Genomic DNA, 23,283 nt, shown 5'->3' with positions numbered 1-23,283 from the left:
AGTGATCTGCCCACTTCGGCCTCCCAAAGTGCTGTGACTACAGATGTGAGCTACCGTGCCTGGCCTCTAGTTCCCATTTCTAACTGTACTTCAGGACTCAATGTCAAACAGAAGCCCTGGATGGGACTTGGCTCCTATAGAAAATACTCTACTCTCTCCTTTAATTCAAGAAAATTCCAGGCACATTGATGTGATGGCCACGTTATTTGTACAATGTAAAAAGAAATAGCTGTAAGATAGAAAGGCAGATGATTTCTTTATTGTAAAGACAGCAGTTACAAAAGAGAATAAATATGACATTAGGATATATTTGTTAAAAATACAACAAAAACCCCTAGTATTTGTGAGCAACCCCAAGAACTCACAAGTATGGGGGATAAGAACATCTACAGCTGGATACCCTGAAACAGATGTTAGAAACTGGCTAATGGTGAGTATGGCCATGACTTTGGGGATGTTTGAAAGGCCCTGGATCTGTCACTTGGGAACGTCAGCGGTCTACTGTAATACAATTTGCACAGAGTCAGAGTGAACAGGAACCCTTTTACTCATTGGTATCCTAACTATTCTTTCGTTCTTACAGTGAAGTAGTACAGTATTTAAGAGTGGGGAAAAGGCTGAGCTGGGAAGACATAGACGGAGCAAGGTGAAGAGGGAGGGACTGGGGGAATGCTAAGGGGCCAGGAGAAAGGTGGCAGGAAGGAGCAGACCTCTGTCCTTTCTCTAATGTGTGTTACTATGGTGGCATGCTGTTCCTCCTGTTGAAGAGTGGACGGGCAGTGGTCCACCCAGCCTCCATTAAGACCCACCATTACCCAGGAACAGAAGATGCAAAAGCAACTGGCAGAATCCTACCAAAGATGAGAACAGGGAAGTTGAATGTGAAGCAGAGAGGAGTGCAGAGAATTCTCCGAGAAAATGGGCATTTTCTCTGAGGACCCAAAAAGACAGACATATCTACACAAATTGATATAGCAGACTACTCTTTGATGGGGAATGGTAAAGGGACAAGGACAAAGTGAAGGTTGCTGAGAAGATACAAGTTCTGGCTATAAGAAGGGCAGAGGAGCAGAGGCAGGAGACAGAGGTGGGCAGGCATCTGGCCCACCCCAGGACCCTCCTGGAGGGGCTTGGACACTGGGAGGAATGAAGGCTGGCACGGGAGCTGGCACGGGGTGGTGGATGGAGATGCTGGCTCAGGGAGGGGACCGACAGCAGTGATGAAGATGCCTAGTCATCTCTTCTCGGGGCATCTGTGAGGCACAGCTGTGGGCAGAGGGCAAGGTCAGCAGGACTATGTATTGAAGTTGGCCTTGAGTTTCTGGAAGGCTGCCTGGCGGAGCCGCCTCTCCTCCTCCTCCCGCTTCCGCTCATCTTGCTCAGCTTTCAACTCTGCTTCAAACTTACTGGCCGATGACAAGGCTTGGACCTGCAGAGAAATAGCAGACATAGACCAAACGAGTAAGGGAGGGCAGAGGACCCTGGAGCTGCTGACACCTGAGCCAACAGCCCATTCAGCAGACCTAGAGACAAGGGAATGTGGGCCCACGGAGGGCAGGACCCCAGCAAGCACTCTTTCCGTGTGGCCTTCAGAAGTTGCTTTCTGTTGGCGCAGACACCATCTCTAACACATCACTGTATTTGTTGCTGTGCCCCCATGTGCTTCTTTTGCTGGGGTTGGTCATTCTACTTGACTTTTTTTTTCAGGATACAGTTTAACATCCCAGTTTATTAACCATTTTTACATTATTTTAATTTCACACTAATATTGTTCAATTCTAGGGAAAAAGGCAAACCAAAATGAATCCCCTGATGGGATTTATTTTTTTTATTTTTTATTTATTTATTTATTTATTTTGAGATGGAGTCTCGCTCTGTCGCTCAGGCTGGAGTGCAGTGGTGTGATCTTGGCTCACTGCAATCTCCATCTCCCAGGTTCAAGCAGTTCTTCTGTCTCAGCCTCCCGAGTAGCTGGGACTACAGGTGCACGCCACCATGCCTGGTTAATTTTTGTATTTTTACAAAATTTACAGGCTGGAGGCTGGTCTCGAACTCCTGACTTCAGGTGATCCACCAGTCTTGGCCTCCCAAAGTGCTGGGATTACAGGCGTGAGCCACTGCACCCAGTCCCCTCATGGGATTTTTATTGGAATTGCATCCATCTGTCTATGGCAAAGGGGTACCTTTAAAATACATTTCTCCCTGGGCTGGGCGCGGTGACTCAAGCCTGTAATCCCAGCACTTTGGGAGGCTGAAGCGGGCGGATCACCTGAGGCCAGGAGCTTGAGACCAGCCTGGCCAACATGGTGAAATCCTGTCCCTACTAAAAACACAAAAATTAGCCAGGTATGGTGACGTGTGCCTTTAATTCCAGCTACTCAGGGGCTGAGGCAGGAGAATCGCTTGAGCCTTGGAGGTCGAGGCTGCAGTGAGACTCCATCTCAAAATAATAATAATTTTTAAAAATACAGTTTTCCCTGAATGCCTCAGTTTTCATTCAATTATGCCTTTATGTTGCTCACTAAATCAATTGTTCTATATTTACTTCTAGATATTACATGTTTTTGTTGGTATTGTGAATGGAATTTGGTGCCATCTGAGTATTTTAAATCTAACAACTTGTCTTCAATAATATCAGATAAACCCATCTAAAAATCCTCTATTCTAGAACTGATTCTGTGAGTGTGTGTCTCAATTTATAAAATTTCCAAACACGCTGAGTATGTACTTTTTTTTTTTTAGACAGAGTCTCACTCTGTTGTCCAGGCTGGAGTACAATGGCGCAATCTCAGCTCATTGCCATCTCTGCCTCCAGGGCTCAACCGATCCTCCTGCCTCAGCCTCTCAAGTAGCTGGGATTACAGGCACACGTCATCACACGTCTGGCTAATTTTTGTATTTTTAGTAGAGACAGGGTTTTACCACGTTGCCCGGGCTGGTCTTGAACTCCTAAACTCAAGCAATTCACCTGCCTCAGCCTCCCAAAGTGCTAGAATTACAGGCATAAGCCACCACACCCAGCCTTATGTACGTTATTTAAATAGACTATTAAATTGCTCTCCAAAGTAGCTGCTCCGATTTACACACCCACAATCATGAACTGGAAGCTCTCATTTCCCCACAACCTTGCCAAGGTTATCATTAATGTTTTTACTTTTTGCCAATCAGATAGCCAAAAAATTGGCACCTTCTTTTATTTCCTCTTTTGTAAATTGCCCATTTATATCCTTTGCCCACGTTTCTATTCAGTTATTATATTATCTTTAAATTTGCAGTTCCTTTTTTTTTTTTTTTTTAGAAACGTCTTGCTCCATCCCCCAGGTTGAGGTTGAAGTGCAGTGGCACAATCATAGTTCACTGCAGCCTCGAACTCCCGAGCTCAAGCGATCCTCCTACCTCAGCATCCTGAGCAGCTAGGCCTATAGGTGCATGCCACCTATAGGCTAATTTTTTCAATTTTTTGTAGAGATGGGGTTGCTCTATGTTGCCCAGGCTGGTGTCAAACTCCTGGGCTCAAGCAATTCTCCCACCTCAGCCTCTTAAAGCACTGGGATTATGGGCATGTACCACTGAGCTCAGCCCCAATTTGCATTTATTTACATAAGGTAAAAAAAAAAGATAAAAGAATATTTGCTTTCCTCATAAATACTAGGTATTAGTCTCTGGTTATACATATTTTAGTTCCTTTCTCCCAGTTTTTTGCTCGTCTTTTAACTTTAAGGCATTTGGGACGATATACATATTTAAAATTTTGATGTAATCAAATTGATCAACCATTTCCGTTCTGCCATTTGCATTTTATGTCATGTTTAAGGAGGTCTTCTAAACCCCCGAGGTTCTAAACCCATTTTCCTGAATTTCCTTTTAATACCTTTATGGTTTTGTGTTCCCATTTGGCCCCTTAAGCCACAAAAATAAGCTCATTTATTTCACTTTTTTTTTCTTTCCTGTCAGAAGGCAAATGTGCTGACATCTTAACAGGATTGGAGGAAGGCGCACTTCACACATGGACATGAAAACCTAGTCATCACATTATGAACCGCAAAAGGATCTAAGTGCACTTCTTTTAGTGCAGAGTATAAAGTAGGGACTTGACTTTATCTTCACAAGTGCATAGCTAATTGTCTCAACACCTTTTATTGCTAGCCCATTATTCTCCCAATCTTCTTATATCCTAAGTTCCCACGTGAAAGAGATGTTTCTTTTTCTTTTTTGTTTGTTTGTTTGTTTGAAGCAGAGTTTGGCTCTCTTTGCCCAGGCTAGAGTGCAATGGTGCGATCACAGCTCACTGCAACCTCCGCCTCCCAGGTTCAAGCAATTCTCCTGCCTCAGTCTCCCGAGTAGCTGGGATTACAGGTATGCGGCAACACGCCCAGCTAATTTTGTTTTTTAGTAGAGACGAGGTTTCTCCATGTTGGTCAGGCTGGTTTCGAACTCTCCACCTCAGGTGATCCAACCGCCTCGGCCTCCCAAAGTCCTAGGATTACAGGCATGAGCCACCGCGCCCGGCCAATATTCTTTTATCGTGCTAAAGAAGCATTGTTTTCTTATTTTAAAATGTTTTATTATGAATGGGTATTAAACTTTACCAAATACCTTTGAGATATTTAATTTAAATGACTTTTTTCTTGATAACCTATGATCGCAACATTTTCAAATTATTCTTACAGTTTTAACATCTATCTCCTTAAATGTAATCACTGCATTCCATTTTTTGAAGTTTTAAGATTCTTTTTTTTTTTCTTTTTGAGATGGAGTCTTACTCTGTCACCCAGGCTGGAGCTCAATGGCGTGATCTCAGCTCCACTTCCCAGGTTCAAGTGATTCTCCTGCCTCCCGAGTAGCTGGGATGACAGGTACACGCCACCACGCCCAGCTAATTTTTGTTTTTTTTAGTGAGACAGGGTTTCACCATGTTGGCCAGGCTGGTCTCAAACTCCTAAACTCAAGTGAGGTGCCCACCTTGGCCTCCCAAAGTTCTGGGATTATAGGCATAAGCCACTGCTCCTGGCCCCTGAAGTTTTAAGATCCTTAGAGCTACATTCATTGATATAATTCTTTTTTCTAATTGATATAATTCTTTTTTCTTTATTCTAATAAAGTCATTTTTATCTGACTTTATCAGAATCAATAGCTTCAGAGAATGAATATGATATTATCTTTTTCAATATGTTTGCATTCTTTTTATAACATTGGAGGACAAGGGAAGAAGTAATCCTTACATTTCCCAACATTTAACTGTGTTGGGGGAGTTGGAGCAGAGTTCTCAACTTTCTAAATGTCTTTTTTTTGAGACAAGGTCTTACTCTGTCACCCAGACTGGAGTGCAGTGGTGCAGTCATGGCTCATTGCAGCCTCAATCTCCCAGGCTCAAGTGTTCCTCCCAATTCAGCCTCCTGAGTAGCTGGGACTACAGACATGCACCGCCATACCCAGCTAATATTTTTGTTTGTTTTTGTAATGAGAGGGTCTCACTATGTTGCCCAGGCTGGTCTCAAACTCCTGGGCTTAAGCAATCCTCCCACCTCAGCCTCCCAAAGTGCTGAGATTATAGGCATGAGCCACTGCACCAGGCCTGGATGCTCCCATTTCAATGAAAAATCAGTGTCCATTTTCTAAATTCCCCCTGCATTTCACAGGGGTCCATTTCTGAAGACAGGTAACTCTGATAATATTAACAGCAAGAGTTATGCTTATATAGAAAGATGTGTGTGTGTACGTGTGTGTGTGTGTGTGTGTATGTGTGTGTTATAGAAAGATGTGTGTGTGTACGTGTGTGTGTGTGTGTGTGTGTGTGTGTGTGTGTAGAGATGGGGTCTTGCCATGTTGCCCAGGCTGGTCTCAAACTCCTGGACTTAAGCAATCCTCCCACCTTGGCCTCCCAATGTGCTGGGATTGCAGATGTGAGCCACTGCACCAGGTCACTTTTACTTTTATGGAATTATAATCCCTAGAGGCAGGGACTAAAAACTCTCTTTTATTGTTTGCTTTTTGTTTTGTTTTGTTTTGTTTTAGAGGCAGGGTCTTGCTCTGTTGCCCAGGCTGTGGTCCAGTGGTATGATCATAGCTCACTGCAACCTTGAACTCCTGGGTTTGAGGAGTTCTCCTGCCTCAGCTTCCCAAAGTGTCCAGGTGTGAGCCACTGCACCCAGCCTAATCTCTTCTAAAAACTGCTCCTGTACTCCAAAATAGCATTTCCCCAGGGTTTCCTTATACCTCTGATTACACCTTCTTCTCCAAAGGCCTAAATGCCAGCCTTCCCCACAGTCCTGGCACCAGTCTGTTCTACCATAGGTCAATCTCTAATCCTTGGTTTCAACTTGTATCTTGTGAAGTTAGCTCCTGTGGTCTATGTTGTGAGGTGCCCAGAAGCACCCACTTCCTGCCTTATTTCTTGCTATGAGGCCTGCAACATGGCCCAGGGGCCTAAGGGAGACTGACTCCACCCCCGGCTCCAGGAGAGCCCAGCTGAGATAATGATATTCCAGCGTTTTCCAATGGCAGGTTCAGAATTGGGCATGTGTGGAAGAAATTACTCCATGACCCTCAACACATAGGATCCTCATCTTCCCTAGTGGCATAATTACAGCCGGGCAGACAGATCCCGGAAAAAAAGACATTCCCTAACCTCCCATGCAGCCAGGAGTCACCAGGTTCGGTCAAACAGGATGTGATCAGAAACTATTTGCAACCAACATGATGGCCTTCAAATGAAAGGGCACGCCTTTCCCGTGCCTGAAGTCACCTCACACTTGAAACCAAACCCAGTTCATAACTTTTCCTCCTCAAACCACAGCCATTCTGGGAATAGGGGGAGGCCAGGCTTTTTTTTTTCCTTTGAGACATGGTCTTGCTCTGTCGCCCAGGCTGGAGTGCAATGGCCTGATCTCGGCTCACTGCAACCTCTGCCTCTGGGTTCAAGCGATTCTCATGCCTCAGCCTCCTGAGTAGCTGGGATTACAGGCGCATGCCACCATGCCCGGCTAATTTTTGTATTTTTAGTAGAGATGGGGTTTCACCATGTTGGCCAGGCTGGTCTCAAACTCCTAACCTCAAGTAATCCTCCCACCTCACCCTCCTAAAGTGCTGCGATTACAGATGTGAGCCACCGCAATTGGCCTGGGAGGCTGGTCTTGATGAAAAATATCATCAACTCCCCTCCTTACAAACCTCATGGCACTTATCTCCCTCCTCCAATGGAGTGATGAACACTGAGACTTCCAGAGAATTCTCAATTTGTCTCCTCCTCCTCTCTAGTCTGGTTGTCCCTACCCTTATTGGACCCACAATTCTTCTCAGGACATCTGTGAAAACTTCCCTGAGTCTAAACTGTCCCCAGGCAAGTGTGTCCTGGTAGTGCCCACCCCGATCACGTCAAGGCCCTGCTCAAACACTCAACGGCTCCCCTGCACCTGCGGCTGTGCATCGGAATCATGTCACAGCTCCATCGACTACACGTTTCCTGAAACCCACCTTGGAGAAATCCCAGGTGGATGTGGGTGGGCCTGGGAAGCCGGTGTGCAGGTGGTTCTAACACTCAGCAGTCGGGGGAAGGCCTGACCTTCCCAACCAGGTGCCCAGAGAGGAACTCCTCTCAGCCTCAGGGAGGCTGGAGCTCTCTGTCCAATAGCGTCTAGTGTAGCTGGGAGCCATCCTATCTCAGAGTCATAGACCACATGTGCCATGGTGTGCCAAAGGGTGGCAAGTGCTGGCCCAGTTTCCTGATCACCATATTCTTTCTTTCTTTTCTTTTCTTTTCTTTTCTTTCTTTTCTTTCTCTCTTTCTTTCTCCTTCCTTCCTTCCTTCCTTTCTTTTCTCTCTCTCTTTTTTTTCTTTTGAGGTGGAGTCGTGCTCTGTCACCCAGGCTGGAGTGCAGTGACACGATCTCGGCTCACTGCAGCCTCCGCCTCCCGGGTTCAAGCAATTCTCCTGCCTCAGCTTTCCAAGTAGCTGGGATTACAGGTGTGCACCACCACACCCAGCTAATTTTTGTATTTTTAGTGGAGATGGGTTTCACCATGTTGGCCAGGCTGGGGTCACCATATTTGCATCTTGGCTTTCACCTCCGGCCATGTCACCAGCCCTGCTCCCTCACACATCCTGTATCCTCACATTGGGACGCCTCTCCAGCCTCCAAACACGTCTCACCCTCTATGCCTTGGAGCCTTCCACTTGGTGTTCCCACGATCACAACGCCCTCCCTTCCTTGATTACAAGGTGAATCCCCATTCATCTTGGAACATCTGTCACAAATGGCGGCTCCTTTATGGCCCTCTCCCAAATCCAGTGACGATGCCCTCCATTTGTCATCCATGCAAATGTTTATTGAGGGCCATTATATACCAAGCACTGTAATTACAAAGATATCATACCTACTCTGCCTTTGATTCTGGGTGAGGAGGCAGACCTATAAACATAACGAGCTGTAAGAATTTTTATTGTCATTCTTTTCATCTTTTCTCCAGTTATAAAAATAATGCACACTCATTGTAAAACATTACAAAAATATAAAATAAGTCCCTCTGACAAAACTATTACTGATACTTTGGCATATAATGATCCAGGTTGGATTTCATGTTTACAAAATTAGGTTTCCAGCATATTGTCTTGCTTCATTTATTCTGGACATCTGTCCACACGGACACGCAGCTGCATCTCATTTTTTGACAGCTGCAGAGTGTGCAAATGTGTGGGTATATCACAATGAACTCACTTCCCTGATAATGGAAGTTTTGGTTATTTCTAATTTTTCTCTATCACTAACACTATTGTATGAAAATCCTTGTCCATACATGTATGTGCATTTGCATGGGTGCGGTGGCTCACGCCTGTTATCCCAGCATTTTGGGAGGTGGAGGCAGGCAGATCACGAGGTCAGGAGTTTGACACCAGCATGGCCAATATCGTGAAACCCTGTCTCTACTAAAAATACAAAAATTAGCTGGGCGTGGTGGTGGGCGCCTGTAGGCCCAGCTACTCAGGATGCTAAGGCAGGAGAATTGCTTGAACCTGGGAGGCAGAGGTGCCAGTGAGCCAAGATCGTGCCACTGTACTGCAGCCTGGGAGACAGAGTGAGACTCAATCTCAAAAAAAAAAAAAAAAAAAGAAGAAGTCTTAAGAGGTAGAATTCTGGAAGGGAAAAATATAAAATGTGCATAGTTAGTTTCAAACTGCTTTACAAAAAGTTGGGTCAAAGTTGCAGTGAGCCAAGATTCTGCCACTGCACTCCAGCCTGGGTGGCAGAGCGACACTCCATCTCAAAAAATAAAATAAAATAAAAAGCTGGGTTAATTTATACTTTTACCAAAAGCATGTAAGGGTGCCTTGAAACGATAAATTATAACACCACTTCCATGTGTACTAGAGGCACACAGAAGAGGATGGACAGTCAGGGAAAGCAGCCCAGGGGAGGGAACTCTTCAATGTGGGTCTGGATGAAGCAGAGTTTTCTAGGCAGAGGCATTTGGGTAGGGCGTTCAGGCAGAGGGGACAGGAGATCCAGTTGGGAAAGGCGTGGCAGCATTTGCAGGGGGTGGATGAGGCTGAAGCAGGGATCAGAGCCAGATCATAACAGGTCTTGAATACCCAGATAAGACATTCCCAGACACTCAAACCTACTTCAACTAGAGCACGTATCACCTTGCACTGGAGCAGTGGAGTGAAAACTGTCCTGCTAAGCTCGGGCTCTCAACCCTAGCACCTCTCCCAAAGCATCATAAGACATCTGCATGTTATATACTCAATGGATGGAGAAGACCCATCCCTGCAAAATAGCCCTTCCCTCCTCTCTACCCTCTCTGTGTCATTGTGGCACTTGCTTTCTTCACTGGACTATGTGTGTGCCCTGGGAAGGGCAACAGTTATGACCACTTCGCCTTTAGAAAGGAGTTGTATCTTAGAGCTCAATGCGGTGCCCAGCTTTGCTGGAGATGGGCTGAATCAATGTTAAGTCAGGAAGGAAGGACCAAACCACTTTCATTATTGGACACATGGTGCCAGTGTTTAAGGCGCAATGAGTGGTTGGCTTGTCCCTGACACTGTCAGATGAGAGCACTGGGCTTTCAGCATGGCAGAGAGATGATGAAATCTGTCTCCAAGCAGCCTCAAAGAGAAGTAAGAATTTAGAGTCCTGCTTAGGGGACTGGGCAGGCCAGGATATGTCACCAAGGCACTCTGTCTCTGGGCAAGCTTCCAGAATAAACTAAAACAAAACTCCACAAGAGTCCCAACAGCCCATACCACCTATGAAGGGCTCACAGTGAGCCAGGCACTTCCTAAATGCTTTCATGTACATGAACTCATTTAATCATTCAGGCAATTCTATTGTCACCCCTCCATCATACAGATGAAGACACCGAGGCTCAGAGTGGACAGGGTAGGGAGATGGAGGAGGCAGAGTCTGAACTCAGGTGGACTGGCACCCACTTGCTGGTTGGCAGAGCACTGGGAGGACCCTCCTGGTCTGTTTCTGCAGGTGTGCTCTGCTGAGATGAAAATGACAGCTGCAGTCTGGTGGGCAGCGTGAAGGCTGGGAGTGGTTGCTCCTCACAGAAGGAACTAAGCACCTACCTTGGCTTCAAAGAAGTTCTTGGCACCTTTGACACCCTCCAGGGCCACATCGATCTCAGAAAGCTTTGCCAGCGCCATCAGCCCACTGTCCTCCTGCAGCTCCCCTGCCGCGGCCTTGTGGAAAATGAGCAGGAACTACAGGGGAAAGAAAGTAGGGAACCAGAGTCAGTCTCACTGACAGATTCATAACCAGCCCTCTGGTCCAAGCTGAAGTCACTCTGCCAATCACTTAAGAAAGATGTTTATGTATGCATGTGGCAAATTACTTTTTTCCCTCATCAGATTGTCAAAAATGAAAACATGCCGATTTTTCCCAAGGCTATAGGGAAATGGGCACCTTCATATTTATTTGAGAGTGTAAACCGATTCAAACTTTTTTTTTTTTTTTGAGGCAGAGTCTCGCTCTGTTGCCCAGGCTGGAGTGCAATGGCATGATCTCGGCTCACTGCAACCTCTGCCTCTGGGCTCAAGCGATTCTCATGTCTCAGCCTCCCGAGTAGCTGGGATTACAGGTGTGTGCCACCATGCGCGGCTAATTTTTATATTTTTAGTAGGGATGGGGTTTTGCCATGTTGGCCAGGTTGGTCTCAAACTCCTGACCTCAAGTGATCTGTCCGCCTCGGCCTCCCAAAGTGCTGGGATTACAGGCGTGAGCCACTGCCTCCCACCCTCAAACTTTTATTTATTTATTTTCTTTTTTATTTATTTAATTTTTTGAGATGGAGTTTCACTCTTGTTGCCCAGGCTGGAGTGCAGTGGTGCGATCTCGGCTCACTGCAACCTCTGCCTCCCAGGTTCAAGCGATTCTCCTGCCTCAGCCTCTCGAGTAGCTGGGATTACAGGGATGCACCATCATGCCTCGCTAATTTTTTTGTATTTTAGTAGAGACGGGGTTTCTCCATGTTGGTCAGGCTGGTCTCAAACTTCTGACCTCAGGTAATCCGCCCGCCTCGGCCTCCCAAAGTGCTGGGATTACAGGTGTGAGCCACTGCACCCAGCCTATTTATTTATTTTCTTGAGACAGGGTCTCGCTCTGGAGTGCTGTGGTGTGTTCATAGCTCACTGCAACCTTGACCTCCTGGGCTCAGGTGGTCCTATGCCCTCTGATTCCTGAGTAGCTGGGACCACAGGCGTGTGCCACCACACCTGGCTAATTTTTTTTTTTTTTAATTTGTAGAGACAGGGTCTTCTACGTTGCCCAGGCTGGTCTCAAACTCCTGGTCTCAAGTGATCCTCCTGCCTCAGTCTCCTAAAGTGCTGAAATTACAGGTGTGAGGCACTGTGCCTGGCCTTGATGGGCACTTTGGAAATGTTTACTGAAAATAAGATGCTTTTTGCCTTCCAACCATTAATTCCACTGGTGGGAATTTATCCTTCAGAAACATTCCTACAATGGTTTAAACATTATCTATGAAAGTAAAAAATTAGCAGCATCCTAGTTTACAGTGATGAAAGAAAAATCAAATAAACCTGTATATACTATTTTTTAAAAACTAAATAATATTTCCAATGGTTTTTTAACAACTTGTACTTTTCTTGTGTGTCTCATTTTTGCATTAGATTGTTTGCCTTTCTTACCATTTGCTAAAGATCTTCATAGAACCTGGTATGTTTCAAATATTTTAGCTCTATCACTTGCCTTTTAAGTATGTTTATGCTAATTTTCAACTTTCAAAAATTTTACATATAGTGTTATGCTTAGAAAAACCTTCCTCAGCACCAAGGTTATATAAACAACCACCTATGTTTTGTCTACAACTTTTATGGCTTCTTTTTTTTTTTAACCATGTAAATATTTAATCTCTGAAATTTATTTTTATTTATCATGTGAGGTTAATCATTAACCTTATTTTCTTCCAAATGGTTGGTTAGTAATCCTTGCATCATTTGTTGAATAATCCACCCTCCTCCTCCAGATTCAAAATGTGACCTGAATTAATTAATCTTCAGGCTTCCAAAGAACAAACTTTTAAATAAATAAATTGGCCAACCTTTTTTTTTTTGAGATGCAGTCTTGCTCTGTTGCTCAGGCTGGAGTGCAATGGCTCGATCTCGGCTCACTGCAACCTCTGCCTCCCGGGTTCAAGTGATCCTCCCGCCTCAGCCTCCCAAGTAGCTTGGATTACAGGAGCGTGACATCACACCTGGTTAATTTTTGTATTTTTAGTAGAAATGGGGTTTCACCATGTTGACCAAGCTGGTCTTGAACTCCTAGCCTCAGGCCTCCCAAAGTGCTGGGATTGCAGGCATGAGCCACCATGCCCAGCTATAAATTGGCCAAACTTAAATGGCAATTTCCCCATCTTCCTGTCCTCTCCCAAGGCAATTTTGTGGCTTTTTTAGTTCTCTTCTTTAAACAACTGCTATCTAAGCTTCATGACTTATTTTTCCATATGGAAAGAATATAAACTGATACGTTCCAAGCTATCATCGAAAGAGGCTCTCTCCAGGTTTTCAGGTGCTACCTAAAATGTATGCACCCACAGGAAAATTGCAGGTTTCCAGGTCTTTTTTCATAACCCTCTTCCCTAAAAGAATGCCTTCTCGCCAGGTGCAGTGGCTCACGCCTGTAATCCCAGCACTTTGGGAGGCCAAGGCAGGTGGATCACGAGGTCAGGAGTTCGAGACCAGCCTGACCAACATGGTGAAACCCCGTCTCCACTAAAAATACAAAGATTAGCCGGGCGTGGTGGTGCCTGCCTATAATCCCAGCTACTCAGGAGCCTGAAGCAGGAGAATCGCTTGAACCCAGGAGGTGGAGGTTGCAGTGAGCCGAGGTCGTACCATTGCACTCCAGCCTGGGCTACAGAGCAAGACTCTGTCTAAAAAAAAAAAAAAAAAGCCTTCTCAAAAGGGAAAAGAACACTACTTAAAGTAGAGTGATAGGTTAAGCAACTTCTACAGGCCTTCCAAATCCTCACTTGAGTATCATTACTGCCGAGGCTCTCAATCCCCAGAGGGAAGTGTGTTTCATGCCGGTGAGAGGCTCAACCACCGCATCCCCGAAATGCCTTGTAAGACACCCTCTTCCTATTGCTCCCTTCAGGGTCCTAACGCTACCGTGGATATTGTCAAATACAAAGCAAGAGACACAGCAAGATGCCCACGGAGAGGCCGACGGTCAGCCATGTTCAACCACCTGCAGCTTCAAACTCTCTCACTAGAGGCCGGCAGAGACTCAGTTTGCTGTGGATTATCAGAACCTGAACATTGACTTGAAAGAAGACAGGCCCCTTGGAGGAGGCCAGGCCCCCCAAGAATAGGTTGGAGGTCAAGGGGATGGTGACACAGGGGTGGAAAAGATCGAAGCAGCAGACTTCAGGGCTGCGGATGAGAGGCATGTGGAGAGAGGGACTGACATACTGGTCGCTCCGTGCCCTGCTATCCTTAAATCATTTCCTTCACAGAAGGCCCCACCTCCTTGCTCCACGAGGCAAAGAGAACAGGCAGCCCCACCAGGCCAGTGCTCTCTGGGACCCAGACAGGCAGCTGTGAAAAGATGGGAGCACTGGCTGGGCGTGGTGGCTCACACCTGTAATCTCAGCATTTTGGGAGGCTGAGTCGAGCGGATCACCTGAGGTCCGGAGTTCGAGACCAGCATGACCAACATGGTGAAACCCCATCTCTACTAAAAATACCAAAATTAGCCGGGCATGGTGGTACACAACTGTAATCCCAGCTACTCGGGAGGCTGAGGCACGAGAATCGCTTGAATCTGAGGGGTGGAGGTTGCAGTGAGCCGAGATCGCGCCATTGCACTCCAGCCTGGGTGACAGAGTGAAACTGTGTCTCAAATAAATAAATAAATAATAAAATAATAAAACAAAATATTTTTTAAGAGAAGACAGAGCACCACCCCCAGCCAGTGCCCACCCAGGTGACCTCAGGGACTCTCGCCATCCCCGAGGCTTGGCCTTCTCAAATCCAGAGTGGAGATGACAGTTTACGGACGGGCTTCATGAACTGGAAACATGAGGGAAAGCTCTCCTCACGGGTCCCTTCCCCAGAGCTGTTTCCTCTGAACCCTCAGGTCTGGGGCAGATCCAGACGTATCCACTCACTGTGCCAGGTCAGCAGGTGACCAGCAGCATCCCTGTCACACCTCAGGGGTACCCCCTACCCCAGCCAGTTAAAGAAGGGAAAAAACTCAGCTCAAGCTGAAAGCGCCCAGACTTCCATGAAGCATGCCAGACATTTCCATTTAATTTTGTTACAATCACCAACCGCCCTAAATGACAATTTATCCAACTGCCCAGCCTTGTTTGTCTTCCTATTTATAGTCCACAAAGCCGGGCATGTGGTAGAAGAATTGGAAACTGTCCTAGCTGTGACTGTGAAGAAAGAGGGGGAGGGAAGGAGAGGTAGAAAACAAAGAGACAGCAAGAGAACTAACAAAGCTAAAAAGCCCTTTCACACGCAAGCTATGGATGCTTCTGATACACTCAGGGAATTTTTAACTTCATGGCTTCGGCCGATGATGCAAACACTCCCACGGTATTAGTTAGAACTCTTAGGTTGCAAGTGACAGAAATAAACTTGTTCACTTAAGCAAAAAGGAGGTATTCATTATTTAAAATAGATGTCTCCGCCAGACACAGTGGCTCACACCCGTAATCCCAGCACTTTGGGAGGCCAAGGCGGGTGGATCGCCTGAGGTCAGGAGTTTGAGACCAGCCTGGCCAACATGGTGAAACCCTGTCTCTACTAAAAAGAAAAATACAAAATTAGCCGGGTGTGGTGCCGCATGCTTGTAATCCCAGCTACTTGGGAGGCTGAGGCAGGAGAATCGTTTGAACCCGGGAGGCGGAGGTTGCAGTGAGGTGAGATTGCACCATTGCACTCCAGCCTGGGCAGCAAGAGCAAAACTCCGTCTCAAAATAAATAAATAAATAAATAAATAAATTAATTAATTAATTAAAATAAAATAAGATGTCTCAAAAACCCAAGGACGAGACACAGTGGCCTGGAGGAGGACTGGAACTGGGAGAGGCAAAGCTCTTAGGACTGGAGGCAAGATTCCCCCTCCATCTCTCATGCCGGTCCGCATGGTAGAAAGTGGGCACCCCACATTGCATTATCCTTCCAAGAACAGCCATCTGCAGAGCCAATCCGGAGCACTTCAGCCCCAATTTCAAAATCCCGAGAGAGAGAATTCGATTGGCCTGGTCAGACCAGCGGTCCATCCATGGTCTGATCAACCATGACCAGGCAGGCGGGCGGCCCAGCACAGCCAGGCTCCAGGGGCCACTGTATTCGTCTGCTTGGGCTGCCCTAACAAAATTGTGCAGTCTGGGTGGCTCACACAACAGAAATTTATTTTCTCACAGTTTCAGAAGCTGGAAGTGCAAGAACAAGGTGGCAGCAAATATGGTTTCCAGTTAGGAATGTCTTCCTAGCTTGTAAAAGGCACAGAAAGAAAACTTAGTTTTCACAATGGTCACAATAGCGGGGAAAGCTATTCACACAGCTATTTTAAGGACACAAACACTGAGGCTCAGAAGTAAAAGATCTCACTCTGGGGACCTAGCTTTGTGTAGTAGACTGAGCCCATGCTCTTTTCAGTCTGTGAACACAGCCCTGGTCCACTAGGGCCTTAAGCAGAGGTGGAAACCAGCACGGTGAAATAATGGAACAGGAAAGTATGAGTGGCAGCATGTCCTTATACTCCCAAGGCCTGCATGCCTGGTGCAGCTACTAGAGATGGGACTGGGCTTGGAACTGACAAAGGGTAGACTGTGAATGTCCCTGAAGCTTTGGAACGGGGGTGCAAACCAATCACAGGAACCCTTTGGAGATTTCCAAGACTCTGATGTCTACCATCTGCTGGCCAAACCAGCAGCTAGCCAAAAGCTAACCAAGCATCATGGATTCAGGGAGGAGCACCTGCAGTTGGCCGCTGAGTACAACAGGGCAGAAGGCGGAATGCATCTTAATTCATTTGGCAATTGCAAGCCACGAAACACCCTCTCAGCTCCTGTTCCCAGAGCTCACCACAGCTCTCTCCCCAGAATCTACTCCAAAGCTTCACCAAAGCAAAAGTCTCTGCCTTCTATACTCCAGGGGTATTCGGGCTGGAAAGAGCCAGTACCCCAGCAGGAGCCAAACAGGGCAGCTGTGAAGACAAGTGTGGTGGTGATAGGGCAGGCCAAGTGGCACGGAGGCCACAGCCCACATCCAGCAAATCCAGATCTCTGTGGCCCTTCAGCTCCTTGGCTCTGGCATGCAAAGCTGGATGAGATCATCCAGAGGGTCATGCCCAGCCCTGTGAATCGTATCTCAGGTTCAGCAAAGGTGGAAGATTCTGGAGCTGATTTATAGAAGCAAGGGACAAGCCCAGTTCATCATGGCTGAGGGAGGGGCTTGTGGCTGCCAGTTCTGCTGCAGACCTCCAGGAAGAACTTCTAGCCTAGACAGACCAACGCTTGACCCAAAGTCTCACATCAGAAACCAGGGCGCTAGTTGGGTGTGGGGGCTCATGCCTGTAATCCCAACACTTTGGGAGGCTGATGTGGGAGGATTGTTTGAGCCCAGAAGTGAGAGGCTGCAGTGAACTGTGAAAAAACCAGGGTGCCAGTACTCCAACATTTCTGGAATAACATTAAACACCAGGAAGCAGGGACAGTCCTCTACTCCCAGCTCCTAAGGGCTGAAGGTGAGACATGACTGAGACTTCAGATGCTCTGAGCCTTTAATCTGATATTATCATCAAAATTATTATAATAGGCCAGGTGCAGTGGCTCACGCCTATATTCCCAGCACTTTGGGAGGCCAAAGCAGGTGGACTGCCTGAGGCCAGGAGTTCAAGACCAGCCTGGGCAACACAGTGAAACCCTATCTTTACTAAAATTACAGAAGTTAGCCAGGCATGATGGCATGCGCCTGTAGTCCCAGCTACTCAGGAGGCTGAGGCAGGGGAATCGCTTGAACCCAGGAGGTGGAGGTTGCACTGAGCCGAGATTGCACCACTGTACTCCAGTCTGGGCAACAGAGTGAGACTCTGTCTCAAAAAAAAAAAAGTTAATATAATACAGGTGCCAAATGACACATCTAGAGGTCTTCTGATAAAACTCATAAAGACACATCTAACACATGAAATTCCCTTCCCTGTGGGGTGGCATCCTTGCCATGGAAGACACCTGATAGTCTTGAGACATTGCCCCTAAAATAGAAATGGCTTTCTCAGACGTTCTTAGCCATTTGGGGATCAGCTGTGAATGCCATATGCACTCTTCCTGGTGGGATGCCAGTATCTCAAAATTTTGCCTGCAATTTCAGAGGTTCAAAGACCAAGTCCATTCTTGGACTATTGGTGAGGGGGCTCCACAGGCACAGAATAAGACCCTTTATAAAATTACTTTTGAAAAAATTAGCCAGGTGTAGTGGTACGTGCCTGTGGTCCAGCTACTCAGGAGGCTGAGGTTGGGGGATCACTTGAGCCTGGGAGATAAGGGTTGCAGTGAGGTAAGACTATACCACTGCACTCTAGCCTAGGCAACAGAGTGAGACTCTTGTCTCAAAAAATTAAAAAATAGGCCGGGCGTGGTGGCTCACACCTGTAATCCCAGCACTTTGGGAGGCCGAGGCAGGCGGATCACGAGGTCAGGAGATCGAGACCATCCTGACTAACATGGTGAAACCCCGTCTCTACTAAAAATACGAAAAATTAGCCAGGCGTGGTGGCAGGCGCCTGTAGTCCCAGCTACTCGGGAGGCTGAGGCAGGAGAATGGCGTGAACCCGGGAGGCGGAGCTTGTAGTGAGCCGAGATCACACCACTGCACTCCAGCCTGGGTGACAGAGCGAGTCTCCATCTCAAAAAAAAAAAAAAAAAAAAAAAAACTATTTTGGGGATGGCCACAGTGGCTCACACTGTAATCCCAACACTTTGGGAGGCCAAGACAGGAAGATTGCTTGAACCCAGGAGTTTGAGACCAGCCTGGGCAACAAAGTGAGTCCCTGTTTCTATAAACAACCACAAAATTTTTTTTAATAAAAAATAAACAATTTTTGCATGCTATAAAAATAAAAAGTAGCTAGGCAAGGTGGCTCATGCCTATAATCCCAGCACTTTGGGAGGCTGAGTCGGAGACCAGCCTGGGCAACATAGCAAGACCCTATCTCTACAAAAAAATTTTTTCAATTAGCCGGGCATGGTGGTACATTTCTGTAGTCCCAGCTACTCAAGAGGCTGAAGTGGGAGGATGGGTTGATACTGGGAGTTTGAGGCTGCAGTGAGCTGTGATCATGCCACTGCATTCTAGCCTGGGCAACAGAGCAACCCTGTTTCAAGTAAATAAATAAATAAATGAATAAACAATGAAAACGAAAATATAAAGAAGTATTATTCTCAAAATTACTGGGCAAGGTGGCTCACGACTGTAATCCCAGCACTTTGGGAGTCAGAGGCAGGAGAATCGCTTGAGGCTGAGTTGGAGACCAGCCTGGACAACACAGTGAGACCTCATCTCTACAAAAATTTTAAAAAATTAGCCAGGTGTGGTGGTATGTGCCTATAGTCCAAGCTACTCAGGAGGCTGAGGTGGGAGGATCAATGGAGACTAGAAGGTCAAGGCTGCAGTGAGCCATGATTGAGGATTGAGCCACTGCACTCCAGCCTGGGTGATAAGCAAAGAAGACGCATTATTGTATATTTCAAAATAACTAAAAGGAATAGAATGTTTCAAACACAAAGAAATGATAAATGCTGGAGGTGATGGGTACCCAGATTACCCTGACTTGGTCGTTACACATTGTACGCTTATATCGAGATATCACATGTAGGCCGGGCTTGGTGGCTCACGCCTGTAATCTCAGCAATTTGGAAGGCCAAGGCAGAGGATCACTTGAAGCCAGGAGTTTGAGACCAGCATGGTCAACAAGGCAAAACCCCATCTCTACTAAAAATACCAAAATTAGCCAGGCCTGGTGGCACACTGTAATCCCAGCTACTTGGGAGGCTAAGGCACAAATCGCCTGAACTCAGGAGGTGGAGGTTGCGGTGGGCTGAGATCACACCATTGCACTCCAGCCTGGGCAACAGAGTGAGACTGTCTCAAAAAATAATAATAAAAATAAATAAAATATATCACATGTCCCCCATAAATATGTACAACTATTATGTATCCATAACAATTAAAAATAAAAAATTTTAAAAATACGTTAAAAAATGAAAAGCTTTAATATATAAAAAAGCATAACATTATAAAAGCACCAACATTTTGCCCCCATAAATATCCACTATGAATATTTTGGTGAACATCGCCAAATTTCTTATTATTTTACTCAAATGAGGTTATACTACTACCCATGCTGCTTTTTCCAGGCCAGCACTGGGGTTAGCTGTCACCTAAAAGGTATTTTTGAAAGCGGAATTGCAGGTTAGATACGCAAACAGCGCTCTGGAGAGGCCAAACCCATTTGTGCTCCAGTGGGCTGTACACCTGAAGGTCCTCTCAGGGGCACCCCACAGGGGCTCAGGGCCACAGCAGGCAGGTACCTCCCGGAAGCTGAGCTTGCCATCGAAGTCCTCATCCACCTCCTTGATCATGCTCTTCAGGCCCAGGTGGGTCTGGGGGGCCCCCAGCTTCTCCATCATCAGCTTCAGCTCCATCAGGTCGATGAAGCCATCCCGCCCAGCGTCATACCTGCAGGGTCAAAGGAATGCATGACCGGGATGAAAGGACACTCGTTAGTCTCCGAAACATGTAATTCCTTTGGCTTCATTCATCGAAAAATGACTCAAATACCTCCCGCTCTGCGAGGCCAATGTGGGTCACCTGCTCCAGAGGAACCCCTCTCTCCTCAGAGCGCTTCAGGGCTTTGTATGACTCAAAGCAGATCTTGTACTACCTGTTGGTTTTCATGTCTTTTATCTCCTCAACTAAACCATAATTTCTGGAGGGTGAGAAACATGCTTTGTTTACCTTTATTTCCCCCAGTTTCAGTCAACAAACATCAAGCGAGCACCTCCTCCTAATGCTGGACACTGGAGGGGTTGCAGGAGCTGGCCCCTGACGCCCAGCACGTTCACAGGGAAGGGCTGGCAATTCCAGGAGCCTCCTCCTGGTCACTGCCCCTGGTTCTCTCCCACAGCCATTCCCAACAGCCCGCCTTTCCGTCCCAGGTCTAGGGAAGTTGCTTCCCACCCCTGTGTGCGGAATCATGACTCTGGCTCATGATTCCCCTCTGGTTCGCTCGTCTTGTCTCCAGCTCTGAACGGCCGTGTCTACCAAGAGGGCTCTGACTCTGTCCTCTAACAGGGCCACCCCTCTGCTGACTGGCCCCCCAGCCCCCAGCCAGGAAACAAACCCAGCTTCACCAGGTGGGACTGGGCCTGTCCCCTCCTGGCCCAGCCATCTTCAGCCCTGTGTGCTCTGCTTCCTCCAAGCCACTTCCCCCATTACAGGATTTCTCCACAGACCCCCTGGCTCTCCTCCCTTCAAGCATTTCCCGCCACCCAGAGACCCCTTGTTGCTCAGGTATGAATACCTTGCTCTAAAAACAAATCAGTTTACAACAGCCAAAAGGTGGAAACAACGCGGGTGTCTGCGGACAGATGAAAGGAGAAACGAAACGGGGTATATCCAGCCAGGCGTGGTGGCTCATGCCTGTAATTCCAGCACTTCAGGAGGCCGAGGCGGGCGGATCACCTGAGGTCAAGAGTTCGTAGACCAGCCTGGCAAACATGGTGAAACCCTGTTTCTACTAAAAATACAAAAATTAGCTGGGCATGGTGGTGCACGCCTGTAATCCCAGCTACTCGAGAGGCTGAGGTGGGAGAGCTACTGGGAGGCGGAGGTGGCAGTGAGCTGAGATTGCACCACTGCACTCCAGGCTGGGTGACAGAGCGAGACTGTCTCAAAAAAAAAAAAAAAAAAGGGGTGGTGGTGGGGGTATAGCCGTATATCCATACAATGAAATATAGTATGTTTATACAAGGGAATATTATTTGGCAATAAAAAGGAAGGGAAGGCTTATACACGGGTGAACCTTGAGGGCATTCTGCTAAGTGAAACAAGCCAGCCACAGAAAGGCAAATGCTGTATGGTGCCACTTCTGCGATGTTCTTACAGTAGTCAAATTCATAGAGACAGAAAGTGGATGATTGGTTGCCAGGGGCTGGGAGAGAGGGGCATGGGAGTTAGTGTTCAATGGATAGAGATTCAACTTGAGATGAGAAAAAGGTTCTGGCGATGGATGGTGGTGATGGCAGCACGATAATGTGAATGTACTTAATGATGTCCACTTACTTGGTTAAAGTGGTCAGAGGTTTTGTTTTTTTGTTTTTGTTTTTTTTTTGAGACAGAGTCATGTTCTTTCACTCAGGCTGGAGTGAAGCTGCACGATCTCTGCTCACTGCAACCTCCGCCTCTCAGGTTCAAGCGTTTCTAGTGCCTCAGCCTCCCAAGTAGCTGGAATTACAGGTGTGCGCCACCACACCCAGCTAATTTTTGTTTTGTTTTGTTTTTGAGACGGAGTCTGGCTCTGTCACCCAGGCTGGAGTGCAGTGGCACAATCTCGGCTCACTGCGACCTCTGCCTCCTGGGTTTAAGCGATTCTCCTGCCTCAGTCTCCCAAGTAGCTGGGATTACAAGTGTGTGCCACCACACACAGCTAATTTTTGTATTTTTAGTAGAGACGGGGTTTCACCATGTTGGCCAGGCTGGTCTCGAACACCTGACCTCACATGATCCGCCCGCCTTGGCCTCCTAGAGTCTTGGGATTACAGACATGAGCCACTACACCTGGCCTGGTCAATTTTATGTTAAGTGCATTTTACCACAATTTGTAAAAAATTAAATAAATAAGGCTGGGTATAGTATCATATGCCCACCCGTAGTCCCAGCTACTTGGGAGACTGGGGTGGGATGGTCACTTGAGCCCAGGAGTTTGATTGCATTCAGCCTGGGCAATGTAGTGAGACCCCATCTCTTAAAAAAATAAAGAGGCCTGGCGCAGTGGCTCACACCTGTAATCCCAATACTTTGGGAGGCCAAGGCGGGTGGATCACGAGGTCAGGAGAACAAGATCGAGACCATCCTGGCTAACACGGTGAAATCCCATCTCTACTAAAAATACAAAAAATGAGCCGGGCGTGGTGGCAGGCACCTGTAGTCCCAGCTACTTGGGAGGCTGAGGCAGGAGAATGGCATGAACCCAGGAGGCGGAGCTTGCAGTAAGCCGAGGTCGTGCCACTGCACTCCAGCCTGGGTGACAGAGCAAGATTCCGCCTCAAAAAAAAAATAAATAAATAAATAAAATAAAATAAAATAAATAAATAACACAAATTTAAAAATTAAAATAAGTAAATCAGGCTTCCTCACTGATCTGGTTTGGATCTGCATCCCCACCAAATCTCATGTCGAACTGTAGTCCCCAGTGTTGGAGGTGGGACTTAGTGGGAGGCGGTTGGATCATGGGGGTGGATTTCTCACAAATGGTTCTGCACCATCCCCTTGGTGCCATTCTTGTGATAGTGAGTGAGTTCTTGCAAGACCTGGTTGTTCAAAAGTGTGCAGCACTTCCCCGCTTGCTCTGTCTTGCTCCTGTTCCGGCCATGTGAAGTACTGCTCCCCCTTCACCTTCTGCCATGGTTGTAAGTTTCCTGAGGCCTCCCCAGAAGCCAAGCACACGCTGCCATGCTTCCGGTACAGCCTGCAGAACTGTGCATGAGCCAATTAAGCCACTTTTCTTATAAATTAGTTAGTCTCAGGTT

General features: G+C 46.9%; 1 protein-coding gene and 1 non-coding gene across 4 annotated transcripts in view, besides 1 other annotated feature; both read right to left on the bottom strand.

Annotated features, from left to right (window-relative positions):
• EFHD1 (EF-hand domain family member D1) overlaps window positions 238–23,283 on the bottom strand; it is a 76,720-nt gene continuing 53,674 nt past the window's right edge. For all 3 annotated transcript variants that reach the window (NM_001243252.2, NM_001308395.2, NM_025202.4), the window contains 3 exons: window positions 20,065–20,212; window positions 10,571–10,705; window positions 238–1,429 (listed from right to left, as the gene is read on the bottom strand). In NM_001243252.2, coding sequence (NP_001230181.1) covers window positions 1,295–1,429; window positions 10,571–10,705; window positions 20,065–20,212 — 418 coding nt within the window. In that variant the 3' untranslated portion in view covers window positions 238–1,294. The remainder of the gene's footprint in view (window positions 1,430–10,570; window positions 10,706–20,064; window positions 20,213–23,283) is intronic.
• LOC124906169 (small nucleolar RNA U13) lies at window positions 3,949–4,051 on the bottom strand. Its single transcript, XR_007088756.1, has one exon. It is a non-coding gene; the product is annotated as a small nucleolar RNA U13 (small nucleolar RNA).
• Window positions 20,420–20,919: an enhancer, noted in NCBI's record as "H3K4me1 hESC enhancer chr2:233526805-233527304 (GRCh37/hg19 assembly coordinates)". NCBI's record gives its function as "activates a minimal SCP1, AML or CMV promoter by ChIP-STARR-seq in primed H9 embryonic stem cells {active_cell/tissue: H9 hESC(primed)}" and the evidence as "EXISTENCE:reporter gene assay evidence [ECO:0000049][PMID:30033119]".

This window comes from Homo sapiens, chromosome 2, assembly GCF_000001405.40.
Source record: "Homo sapiens chromosome 2, GRCh38.p14 Primary Assembly".
In the NCBI taxonomy this organism is placed as follows: domain Eukaryota; kingdom Metazoa; phylum Chordata; class Mammalia; order Primates; family Hominidae; genus Homo; species Homo sapiens.
The sequence above is the reverse complement of the archived record's forward strand: the minus strand, read 5'-3'. Positions and strand labels throughout refer to the sequence as shown.